This window comes from Homo sapiens, chromosome 10 (genome assembly GCF_000001405.40).
Source record: "Homo sapiens chromosome 10, GRCh38.p14 Primary Assembly".
In the NCBI taxonomy this organism is placed as follows: Eukaryota; Metazoa; Chordata; class Mammalia; order Primates; family Hominidae; genus Homo; species Homo sapiens.
In genome coordinates this window covers 93,691,734-93,704,724 of record NC_000010.11, presented here as the reverse complement: position 1 = coordinate 93,704,724, position 12,991 = coordinate 93,691,734, and the positions used below count along the sequence as shown (strand labels likewise).

The window sequence follows — 12,991 nt, the reverse complement described above, 5'->3', positions numbered from 1 at the left end:
CTTGAATAAAAAAGAATGCACAGTCATAGTTTATATCAGAATTATTACTTGGTATTATCACCACCATCATCACCCAACTTCCCTCATCCTGACCACATACTTAATATAGTATTTTGTTGCTTTGAGTTACATAGCATTGGTGCACATTTAAATTTTCATATCCATTGAAATAACATATTTTATAAATTAGGAACAACAGGTTCATGCATGTACTAGACACTTGGTATATGATAGAATATATTGTTGTAGTTATTCCACACATTGTCTGTCTTACTAGTCAACCTTCAAGGATAAGGAGTTGCTGTTACATACCTGTAACCCTGATGTCTAGGGCAGTGTCCTGCCCAGAGTAGGCACTGAATAAATGTTTGTGTTTTTTATTGTTGTTGAGCTATAATTGTTAACTTGAGATTTCCTAAGCAGGTGGGTTTTCTATCCTGTATTATTTCTAGTTCAGATCATGCAATCTATGCCTAATATATATTTTCTATTTACTCTTTTTCAGTAACTGCTGTCTCAAAGTAAAAAATGGAAATCTTTGCCTGAATGGACTGGTAGCAACAGATCTGAAATTCTTAGAAATGTTGGAACCAGAAGCTACTTCCCACACAATCCATGAAGTGGGGGAGAGAGAGACAGAGAGAGAGAGAGAAAAGAGAGAAAGAGAGAGAGAGAAACTGGGTCTTATAGAGAGACAGACACAAGTACTACCCAGTTCTCGACCCTCACCAGGTTTGTGGCTTTAGGTTCTGTGCCTCTCTTCCTTATGTGTAAAATGAGGCTAATAACACAGCAGCACAGGGTTGTTGGAAGAGTAAAATGAAGCAACAAACAAGAAGATGCTAGGGATGGTAGAAAAATGCTAATAAATGTCAAATATGGATAGAAAGGAAATTGGATATGAGGTATAGGTCTGTTTAGTTTTATTAACAATAAAATAATTATATATTTAATATATTTACCAAAAAAGAAACTGCTTGACAAAATAATTCCATATACTATAACGTCAAATTGTAAGGCTTCCTATTGCTTTCACTTTTTTTAGTAAAAGTTTTTATTGAAGTATAATCTGATTGCATTTTGGAATAAGTTAATTTACAATAATTTAATTTATCTTATAGCCTTTTAAGATCACATTCAGTGCAATGGATAAAGCAGAATGTATCTATAATTTATTGTCAGGGTTAGAGACTTGAACTGATAAGGATATCGTTATCTACTGTTTAGGGCAAAAGATGTAAAATGACTGTGCATTAAGTGCCAAGGTTTTCTCTAAAAAGGGCCCACTGTAAACGCCAGAAGCGTGCCAGTTCAATTCAACAAATATTTAATTAGCACTTGTGATTTCCAAGGCACCGTTTTGGGTACTGAGGAGGAAGCAAAAAATGAATAGCTGCTAATGCCAGCGAGAGACAAGACATGAACCAAACAACTAGAGTGGAAAGAGTGGGGCGTCGTGATGTAGAAAACGCAAAGCACAGGAAGAACCTAGTGGCGCTTAAAATAATCCAACTTTTCCTGCCTTTTTTCTTCTTCTTTTTAAGATTCTATTTTGGATCCCTTTTCGCATGTGCCAGGTCGCTTGTCGGCAGAGAATCCTCAACCCTGAGAAATCTCTCCTCCTATTCTTTCTTTCCTCACAAATTCGATGAGCTCTTCTGCCATCAGCACTGCTTTTGGAATGGTATCTATTGTGTGGGTGGCGAAACGATGGAGAGATATTTTTGTTCTAATTATGAGAACTGTTTTACTGGGGGAAGGAGGGAGAGGCTGATCTGAAGCGCTGATGAGCTGCTCTGAGAGGATCCTCCGAGGAGGCGTTACTAAGGTTACTAGAGAGAGGACGGCAGGTGATAGGCACGGTAAAACAAAATATATTTTCAAATGAGAGGCGTGGGCTAAGCAGCAAGCAGTGCCAGCGGTACTAGATGCCGGATTCCCTAGAGGGGAAAGGAAGGAGGCCCAGGGAAAAACTGGGAGCCGCGACTTGGCGAAAGCTGGAAGCCTCTTCGTCCCTTTCCGGGCCGTTTCTCCCGCTGCCCTTGTTTCCCGGAGCTGTTCTGGCTGTAGCACAAGGTCGGCGCACTCGGGGGACGGTGCCATTTAGATGTAACACGTGGCCGTGTCGGACCGGAAGTGGTGCCCAGTCGGGACCCGTAGGGAGAGGCGGGTTGCGGGCGGCGGCGGCGGCGGCGGCGGCGGTGGTGGTTGTGGCGAGGCTGTGCGGCAGGGCGCACGGGACCTGTGCTGCAGCGGCTCTCTCAGGCCGTGGGTCGTCGCTGCAGCTGCCGGGAAAGAAGGAAACGACGACTCCGGGGGCGAACTTGGCACACAGGGAGGAAGGGAAAGGGTGTGTGAGGAGGGCTGTGGGTATATTTGGCATCAGGGAGAAGGACCTCAAAACTTGTTTTTCATATAGTACTAGCTGATCGTCGGGTTTTTTTTTGTTTTGGTTTGGTTTTTTTTTTTTTGGATGACAGATTCTGGAGACACCTGGCATCTCCGTTTTTGAGTTTCTCCCCGCTCTTGTCAGTTGATTCGTAGGCCTGAAGTGAGTGAGAGCTTTTTAGTTCAACCAGTGAGTTAAGATAGGTATGGGTCGGATGGAGCGGCCAGCGAATAAAGAAATGGGAGAGTGGGAGCAAGAATAGGAAGTCGTGTCCTGGGGCGAGGGAAAAGATGATGATGATGATGTAACATTTACTGGGTTTCACTGTACAAGACACCGTTAAAACCCTTTAGATGAGGCAACTCTTTTAATCTCCATTCGTATGAGGTCAGCCATCTTACTAGCCTCTTTTTATAAATGAGGACACTGAGGCTTGGAGAGGTTAAGGAACAGGCCCAAAGAAAGACAAATGGAAAGTGCAGAGCCAAGCAGTGAAATCTAGTAGGCTGATCCTAGAATATATCTCTAAACACACTACAGCTGTCCCCCATCAAGATGTAAAGAACGTGAGGACATAGGACAAAGAGTGAGAGGACAATATGGCTTGAACAGATGTGGTAAGACAGCTGGAGTTGACCTAAAAAAGGGTGTAAAATCCAGGTGTGTAAGGCAATAACAGATGTAAGGGAGGGTAGAGTTGGAACTCGGGCTTTCAAACCTTCATCTCCAACCTTAACTAGCATCTTCCTATCTAGGATTTTAGTGGGGCAGAGAAGAGAGGTATATACCCACACACCTATGTTTGAAAATGGAATTACAGACTTTAAAGGTTATTTAAAGATTTAAACAACTTAAAGATTATTTCATGTAGCTATCTTATTTAATAGATGAAGTCCAGGGAGATGAAATGACTTATTCAAGGTAGCCAGGACTAGAAACATGTCGTTTACCCTAGATCCAATGCAATGAAGTTTAGAGAGTTCTTTCCTCTTTTTCCAGCTGCACTTGCTGTCGTTATATTAGTTTTAACAATTTGATATATCATTTAACCTGGACTGTTCCTTCCAGCCATGTAAATTAGTTATGTATGACATCAAATAGTCCATCCTTCCTTCTTAGTGTGTGTTCCAAATTCAGTGCAAAGCTGGAACTAGGAGCTTCTTCCAATACAATTGAGTGGCAACTGAGGTCTTCCAGCATTTCTAAGAATTTCAGTTCTAAAATGAAGTCCCAGCATTTTGGGATGCTGAGGTGGACGGATTGCTCAAGCCCAGGAGTTTGAGACCGGCGTGGGCAACATGGCGAAACCCCTTATCTACAAAAAAAAAATTTTTTTAAGTTTGCCAGGTGTGATTATGCACTCCTGTAGTCTCAGCTACTTGGAGAGGCTGAGGTGGGAGGATTGATTGAGCCCAGGAGGTTGAGGATGTGAGCCATCAAGGCGCCACAGCACTCCAGCCTGAGCAATAGAGCGAGACTCTCCAAAAATAACTGGATAAATAAAATGAAACAAGAGAAAGCTGACTAATCCAAAGGGCAAGGTGGTTTACCTTAAAGAAACTCAAAAGAAAATGGAAATCTCTACATATATTGAAAAAGATTACAGGAAAATTTTCATCAATTGATGATGTACTGTTCACAAATACTGTAATTCTCCTGGAATATAGTAAATCATATTCCAGAGAGGAAATTTGGAGTAATTGAAATTGTGGGCGCAGGAATCAAGTACAGCAGATTAGCCACTTACTGGATTTGTAAATAGATTTACTTAACTTTGATTACTTCATTCCTAAATGAAGATAACTTTCTAACTTGCAGAATTAGAAGTGTTGTTTGTAAAGTATTTAACACAATGTCTAGAACAAAGTTGGTGATAAACACACAGTGATTATTACTACTCTGAATCAAAAGTGAAGGATTGCTAAACCTTGTAAGCAGTCACTGCAGCTTTTAGGCCTGGTTTTTCAGTGAAAAGATCAAAGAGTAGCCTTCTTTGTTCACCTAATGATAATTAAGGGTGAAAAATGTTGATGCATTTCCTGAAAGGTATGTCTCTTATTTAAAAGCGAATGAAAGTTTTAGATGGCTAGATGGCCTGTGAATAGGAATCTGCCCACAATGATCCTTTAAAACTATTGTGGCTGTTTAAGATAACTTATTTTTGAATTATTGTTTCCTGGACAATTGGCAACATAGATTCTAAATAGCTGACTTTGTACTCCTTTACAGATGCATGGTCATGGAGGCTATGATTCTGATTTTAGTGATGATGAACGCTGTGGAGAATCCAGCAAAAGGAAAAAAAGGTAAGTAATTTTTTTTTATTGATCTATTTTTCACATCCTTTCTAGATTAATATGAAGTATAAATAAACAAGAGTGAAATTTTTGAATTCTGTTTACATGTGAAGACAATTGCTCTAGTGAATGAATTTTTGTTCATTAAGCTAATACATTGATTAAAAATTGGAGAACAATTGTGGGAAAAATAAAAATTAATTCTGCAAAGGGGTTTATTGAAAGGGAAAGAAGAGTTTCAGATTTCTGGAATCTTTTCAGAAATCAGTGAAACCTTTTCATTACATATATTTTTCATTCAACTGTCAAGGACTGTTTATTTGTAAATGTTGTAGCTCAGAAGGGGCTTGAATGGTGGTCTCTTGCCATTACTTGCCTTCAAAGTGAAGTTAATATGGAGGATGAAAGTATAATGCAGCACAGTTCTTACGCATACGTGAATGAGCAGACTAAGGTCACGGGAAGAAACTCAAGGAAGGTTTTTTTGAATTGCAAGAGACAAAAACTCTTAGCACATAAAGCCTGTGCGTTATAAGCAGGATACGTCTTGGTGGAGCTGCTGTGCGTAGGAGCATTGTTCTTAGCTTTCAGTGCATAGAAACTCAGTTTTATACTTTGACTCAGGAGTGGTTGACTGATGTATACTAACCAAACTTACACGGCTGTTGACTGATTTTTTTAAGCAAATGTATAGAAATTGGCTTATTATTTCACACTGAGAGCAATATATTAGGCATACTAACAGGTTCTGAACATTTTTATAGGATACTCAGTCTCTGCAATAAAGGATAGTACTAATTATAATAAATTACATTTTTGATGCTTTACATTTTCTAGATTTTTCATTCAAAAATACTACTTTGTAAGAATAGAATTTGAGCAAATCTAGTTGGATACTCTGCTCCAGGATTATATTCATCACTATAACTAGGGCTGACAGTCTATGGCAGGGTGTCCAGTCTTTTGGCTTTCCTGGGCCACATCGGAAGAAGAATTGTCTTGGGCCACGTACTACAGTGGAGCACACACAATTGTGAATCTGTTGGTTCACATTGTTGGCCTGAAGCAGTGCTGGGCCTGCGTAAAATACACTAATGATAGCCAATGAGGTTTAAAAAAATGTGAAAAAGTGTCTTAATGTTTTAAGAAAGTTTACAAATTTGTGTTGGGCCACATTCAAAGCCATCCTGGGCCACATGAGGCCCATGGGTTGGGCGAGCTGGATCTGTGGTTTGTGTTCTCTATAATCAGCCTTGCTTTTTGTGTATCATTAATTACCAAAAACTTCCTTATCACTATGTTACAGATAGAGAAATGAAGAAACAAAGAGATAAATAATTGAATCTTATTAAGATTAAGGTAGTAATTGACAGAATTAGGATTTGAATCAGGAAGCTAGGTGATATGACACTAGAGTCCATGCTTTTGTTAGTTTCATCTTCCCCGTGTTATAGGTATTAAAATAATGTTAAGGTATTAATTAAGCTATTTAAGGAAATGTAAAATATCTCATTAAAGATCAGTGAGTCTTCTTAAAGTTAAGACTTACATTCTTTAAAGTATATTCCAGTTATGAAAATATAAAGAATTAGAAAATAACCTTTGAAAAAAGTGAACTCTTATTTTCTTCTTAATATATCAGGACAGTTGAAGATGACTTACTGCTCCAAAAACCATTTCAGAAAGAAAAACATGGAAAGGTGGCCCATAAACAAGTTGCAGCAGAATTGCTGGATAGGTATGGTATTTCAGTGTCAATTCTATTTCTTGGTTTAAGTTGCTTCGGATTAGGGGATTTGATTATGTTAATTTGAATATAAACATTTTGAATTTTCTTAAAAAAATTTGTTTTAACAGGGAAGAAGCAAGAAATAGAAGGTTTCATCTCATAGCTATGGATGCTGTATCCTTTTTTTATTTCCAGATTTTTATAACTAGTAGAATATTTTAAAATCTGCTTTTTTGTTTTATAAAATCTTGTGAAGTCAAATAGGCTTTTTTATTTTTAAAGATAAGTATTTAGTGATGTAGGATTTTGCCATTTATACTTTTGGGTACAATTCTCTTTTACTAATATATAGGAAAGATTTAGAGACAAAAATAATAAAACATATTACTAGTACTCTATAAATAGGTTTATAAAGTACATGAATCTGCAAATATATTTTCCAAATTGTTTTTTCAAGCTTTCAACATTTCCTTTTCCTATACTTATCTTTAGTCTCATTTTAATTTATTCTCTTCCTACCTGGTTCTTTGCTATTTAAGGTCTCTATAAAACTTGTATTTAAAATTAGGTCTATCCAGTCTGTCCCTGGATCTAAGGAAAAAATAAAAATAAAATGAGGCCTGCCTGTGGACTGTCCTCAGGCCTGCCATGGCTTTAATTTTTAGGCATGACTTAAAGCTATCTTTAAGATAAACCCTGCTTCCTGGTTATAGCCATTTGTCAACTCAGTTTTTTAATAAGACTGGCTGATGACACTAACTGCTACGCTGGCCATCCATACTGCTGTTGAGAATATTGGAGAATTTAAGAGATACCAAGCAAAAACTGAAGTATTTTTGGGTATTTATTGCTGTGATCAGAATTGGGAGAAGGAGACAGTGTCAATTTGATACGCCCCCTACCTGTAATCATCTGTTTCACTGTGCTATTCCAATATTTTTCTTTTAAGTTATAGAAGTACCATTGTGTCACTAATTGATTTATTCTTCTTATCTCCTAACCCAATAGCTAGCTTTTCCATGGATCTCATCTGCCATTTGTTCCTTTAGCATTTAAACATTTGCTCTGCCTTCTCTGACACCTACTGCATTGGGGGCACCTAGTTATAGCCTGGTGAGAGTGAAAGTATGGGTACTCTTTTTTCTGGCATAGGAGGAGTTGGAGCCACAGTTTTTTTTGTTTGTTTGTTTTTTGTTTTGTGTGTGAGGATTTATTTTATTTTATTTTTCTTTATTTTATTTTATTACTTTAAATTCTGGGATACATGTGCAGAACGTGCAGGATTGTTACATAGGGTATACATGTACCATGGTGGTTTGCTGCACCTATCAACCCATCACCCTCACCCTTCCCCGCCCACCGGCTCCAGTGTGTGATGTTCCCCTCCCTGTGTCCATGTGTTCTCATTGTTCAGCTCCCATTTATGGGTGACAACATGTGGTGTTTGGTTTTCTGTTCCTGTGTTAGTTTGCTGAGGATGGTGGCTTCCAGCTTCATCCATGTCCCTGCAAAGGACATGATCTCATTCCTTTTTGTGGTTGCATAGTATTCCATGGTGTATATGTACCACATTTTCTTTATCTGGTCTATCATTGATGGACATTTGGATTGGTTCCATGTCTTTGCTATTGTGAATAGTGCTGCAATAAACATACATGTGCATGTATCTTTATAATAGAATGATTTATATTCCTTTTGGTATATACCCAGTAATGGGATTGCTGGATCAGATGTTATTTCTGGTTCTAGGTCCTTGAGGAATTGCCACATTGTCTTCAATAATGGTTGAACCATTTTACATTCCCACCAACAGTGTAAAAGTGTTCGTATTTCTCCACAGCCTTGCTAGCATCTGTTGTTTCCTGACTTTTTAATAATTGCGATTCTGACTGGGAACCACAGTTTTCTCTGGGTTGTTTGACAAGAGTAGAGTAGTTATTGTCTCAAAGTTGTCTTGCTAGGCTGACTCTTGGTCATTTGGTTAGAGAGAACAGCTTTTGTTGACGATTTTTTAGTCCGTGCCTGTTGGTGTTTCCGGGTTGTCACCTTCTTTACCTCCAATTCTAGGATACATGAGACAAAAAGAAAACCTAGGGAACTCGCTATCATGTCATACCATAGGTCTTCAGGAGGTCCCTAGCGGGGCGCCTTCTTCCTTCCACCTTTTAGAGTCTTTTTATGTTTGATATATAATGTATAAGGATTTTAGTTGTTATTAGTATGAGGAATAGGGAGAAGTACATCTTTGCCTACTCCATCTTCCCGGAAGCAAAAGTTACACCCACCACCTGTTCTTGTACATAAAATTATATTGGAATACAGCCATGCTTCATTTATATGTTGTCTTTGGCTGCTTTCATGCTAAAATGGCAGAACTGAGCATTTGCAACAGAGACCATATGGCTTGCAAAGCCTGAAATATTTACCATCTGGCCGTTTGCAGAAAATGTTTGCTGACCCCAGCTCTAATAGGTTACATGACTTGCCATGGTCATGTGACCAGTTAGTGGTAGATCAAGAGCTAGAATCCAGATCTCCAGGTATTTGGTTTTTCTGTCTCTCTCTTTTTTTTTTTTCCTGAAATATTAACTGGTTTGTTACAATATGGAAATACCATAATCTGATTAAATTGTCTGTTAGTACACATTATGATCAGTTAAATCACTATACATGTTTAATAGTCACAGAGAATATTGTAGAAGGTGAGGTTAGCTATTATGTGCATGTTTGGCTCTAGAGAGAGTGCTGTTGAGCTTTTTAAAACAAAAAGTAAAATGCTCATATATTTTGTTACAATGCTTTGAAAAAACATGGCATTTTATTCTTTGAATTTAAAAGACTATAAAAATTGATTTTTTATATTTGCTTTTTTGAAAGTTTAATGTTGGGATTTAATTATAAATTATAAATATAATTATAAAAGTTGCATCTTCTATTTAGAGGCTTTATCATTACTAAAATAGATAAATTATATTTTATGATAATGAAAGATAAATTCTCTACTTTTAGAAACTATAATTTTTAAATTTTTCATATTGTGATTATTAGAATGAGTGGTGGTAGGAGGCTATATGCAGTTCAGCAATAGAATAAGAAGCTCTATTTCTCCCCAGATGGAGGTATATTTTTATCACAAGAGTAGTATATGCTTGAAAAATAGTCAAAAGAAAGCCTGTACTTTACAATCTTCACTTTCAACAATTTAATATATACCCTTCTAGATTTTCTGAATGTGTAAGCATGTATAGTGTGTGAATATTTTTAAAAAGCTAAATAGACTCATATTGTGCTTTTTTTTACCACCAATCAGCAATATATTATGACACCAAACAGCTCCTAAGAGAATAAAATCCTTAATTTTTTGCATTTCAGTATCAAAGACATACAAAGTTCGTAAATGACTATATTTTATACTATGGTGGCAAAAAAGAAGACTTCAAGCGTTTGGGGTAAGTATCAGGAAGTTTACATAGAAGGGAATGTGGGTTATGGGAAACTTTAAAGACCCACAGCTACTGTGCCTTCTGATTCTGTCATTCTTCCCTGCTTTCTATTCCGGTGTGCCTTTTTTTTTTTTTTTTTTTTTTTTTTTTTTTAAGATGGAGTCTCACTCTGTCGCCCAGGCTGGAGAACAGTGGCTTGATCTCGGCTCACTGCAACCTGTGCCGCTGTGGTTCAAGCGATTCTCCTACCTCAGGCTCCCGAGTAGCTGGGATTACAGGCTCCTGCCACCATGCCTGGCTAATTTTTGTATTTTTAGTAGAGACGGGGTTTCACCATCTTGGCCAGGCTGGTCTTGAACTCGTGACCTTGTGATCCACCTGTCTTGGCCTCCCAAACTGCTGGGATTACAGGCGTGAGCCACTGCACCTGGCCCCAGTTTCTTTTTTATATTATAAGGTAGAGATACCATCCACAGCTCCTGAGTAGCTCTTCATGAATCCCATTTTTTTGGACAGGCCTCAGGTAGACTCTTTACCTGCTGAGCCGGGCACAACCCTGGTGATAAAAGAATATCTGAAGAATACTCATGTGTCTTCTTGGCAAAGATCTTTGAAATAAGGAAATTTTTATACCTTGATGTTTGGGATTGCTTTTTAAAAGATAGGTAAACAAGAACTCTCAGTCTAGCATTTCTTGCACATCAAAGTCCTTCCCATGTTTAAGGCTCTTCTATCAGAACTTGTTTTTTGTTTTGTTTTGTTTTTGTTTTTTTAAATTTTTATTTTTATTTCAATAGTTTTTGAGGTACAGGTGGTTTTTGGTTGCCTGGATAAGTTCTTTAGTGGTGATTTCTGAGATTTTAGTGCACCCATCACCCAAGCACTGTATGCTATACCTAAAATGTAGTCTTTTATCCCTCACCTCCCTTCTGGCCTTCCCCCACATTGAGTCCCTAAAGTCCATTATATCAGTCTTTTGCCTTTGCATCCTCATAGCTTAGCTCCCACATATAAATGAGAACATATGATATTTGATTTTCCATTCCTGAGTTACTTCACTTAGAATAATGGCCTCCAGCTCCATCCAAGTTGCTGCAAAAAGACATCATTTCATTCCTTTCTATGGCTGAGTAGTATTCCATGGTATATATAAATGGTGTGTGTATATATATATGGTATATATATATATATATGGTGTATATATATATGGTATATATATATGGTGTGTATATATATGGTGTGTATATATATATGGTGTGTATATATATGGTGTGTATATATATATGGTGTGTATATATATATGGTGTATGTATGTGTGTATATATATATATATATGGTGTATATATATATATATGGTGTATATATATATATATATATATATATACACACACACCACATTTTCTTTATCCACTCATTGGTTGATGGGCACTTTGGTCAGTTCCATAGCTTTGCAATTGCGAATTGTGCTGCTATAGTGTGTGTGTGTCTTAGAACTTCTTAGTTTTATGTGAGGTTTTTTTTTTCCCTCTAACAATTTTCTGAGTTGGTAGGACTCTGAGAAAATTTAGTACCACCTCATTTACCCCCAATTTATCTCACCTATCAATTTATCCTATATCTCCCAACAATCACTTTTTTTTTTCCTTTTTTTTTTTACCCCCAGACTGTTAGCATTTTATTTTGAAAGGTCAATCCCTTTGGCTTTCTTCCTCCTTTACTCAGTCTTCTACCTAGGAAACTAGTAAAATGAGATACGGAAAACTTTTCATATTTTTTAAAATTAAATCTCAGCAGAGTGGTTGGTTAGAATGAAACTTATTTTCATTCACTTTATTCATTTAGTGTTTAGTCAGGTTTCTCATTCTAGCTTTGGTAACTTAGCACCATTTGTATAATTGAAACCAATGCTACAGACAGATTCCTTATCCATTTAACTTGCTTCTGTAGTAGTATTTTTATAAGTGCCTTTTGAAAATACTGAAATATTTTTATAAATATGTGAACAAATTTATACTCACCAAAAAACTATCTTCATGTATTATATTTTTAATAAAATTTTCCAAAACTCACAGAGCTATTTAACCTAAATTTGACTACTTTTGTTTTTGTATTAAATTGAAAAAGTTCTGTTTTCCAGGGAAAATGACAAGACAGACTTGGATGTTATACGAGAAAATCATAGATTCCTATGGAATGAGGAGGACGAAATGGACATGACTTGGTAATTAGCCATCAGAGGCGTAATGCATCAAATGCTTTAGTCCTGTTTCTCCTGTTTTCTGAGTGGTTTTTTAGTCAAGGTGTTCAGCCCCTTCATAGAACAGTTCTGAATCAAGGACATAAAATCAAGCCTAGGATTATTTGGTTCTTTTGGTAATTTTTGGCAGTTTTAACTGACTTCTCATTGTTTGACTTAGTCTTCAAAAAAATAACATTCTTTTTTACAGTATTGTGTGTTATCTTGTAATATGTTATTATATGCTGCTGTTTTAGAAAAAAGTCATACCTGAAAATGTTTTTTTAAATCCAAACATTACAAAGGGTAAACAGTGAAGAGTGATTCTCCTTCTTATTTGTGACTGTCAGTTCTCCAATTTCCCTCCCTGAGTGAACCACTTTTAATAGTTAATATCCAGATATTCCATGCACATGTAAGTAATAGTTCTCTTAAAACATTAATATTTATGTAGTATGTATTCTTTGACATCACTTGAAAGTAGCAAACCATGGTTGAGTTTCTAAATGTATAATATTTATATTTTCATGGGTCTAGGGAGAAGAGACTTGCTAAGAAATACTATGATAAATTATTTAAGGAATACTGCATAGCAGATCTCAGTAAATATAAAGAAAATAAGGTATGCTTTCCACATATTTATGGAAAGAGGTTCTTATTCAAGTAAAATATTAACTTTTATTATACTGTCATGCCCCACATTATTCTTTTAAAGATGCTAATTCTAGACTCAGTTGTCCTGCGTTTATGATGTGTCATTTGGACCATTTAACCTCTGCAGCTGTGGAGTTTACAAAAGGCCTATGGAAATTTATGAAGGACAAGGATGCTTTTTTTTGTTTGTGAGCTGAGGCATGAAAAGTCTAAAATTAAACGCAAGTGGGTATTGGATCCTGT

At 36.8% G+C, this 12,991-nt stretch overlaps 1 protein-coding gene across 6 annotated transcripts in view, besides 3 other annotated features; it reads left to right on the top strand.

Annotated features, from left to right (window-relative positions):
- FRA10AC1 (FRA10A associated CGG repeat 1) overlaps window positions 1,766–12,991 on the top strand; it is a 35,077-nt gene continuing 23,851 nt past the window's right edge. The window contains exons 1-8 of one of the 6 annotated variants that reach the window (NM_001347715.2): window positions 2,133–2,350; window positions 2,930–3,006; window positions 4,619–4,695; window positions 6,329–6,424; window positions 6,544–6,589; window positions 9,788–9,864; window positions 11,996–12,079; window positions 12,632–12,716. In NM_001347715.2, coding sequence (NP_001334644.1) covers window positions 4,619–4,695; window positions 6,329–6,424; window positions 6,544–6,589; window positions 9,788–9,864; window positions 11,996–12,079; window positions 12,632–12,716 — 465 coding nt within the window. In that variant the 5' untranslated portion in view covers window positions 2,133–2,350; window positions 2,930–3,006. Of the gene's footprint in view, window positions 2,077–2,132; window positions 2,552–2,929; window positions 3,050–4,618; window positions 4,696–6,328; window positions 6,425–6,543; window positions 6,590–9,787; window positions 9,865–11,995; window positions 12,080–12,631; window positions 12,717–12,991 lie in introns of those variants that run through there. The other 5 variants (NM_001347713.2, NM_001347714.2, NM_145246.5 and 2 more) reach the window with 5 other exon arrangements.
- Window positions 1,845–2,144: an enhancer, noted in NCBI's record as "active region_3786". NCBI's record gives its function as "activates an Ori minimal core promoter by ATAC-STARR-seq in GM12878 lymphoblastoid cells {active_cell/tissue: GM12878}" and the evidence as "EXISTENCE:reporter gene assay evidence [ECO:0000049][PMID:35858748]".
- Window positions 2,177–2,202: a tandem repeat, named in NCBI's record as "fragile site, folic acid type, rare, fra(10)(q23.3) or fra(10)(q24.2)".
- Window positions 2,179–2,202: a repeat instability region, noted in NCBI's record as "repeat instability region; expansion of the (CGG)n trinucleotide repeat (CCG relative to the plus strand of the reference genome) is associated with fragility at FRA10A". NCBI's record gives the evidence for it as "EXISTENCE:polymerase chain reaction evidence [ECO:0000082][PMID:15203205]".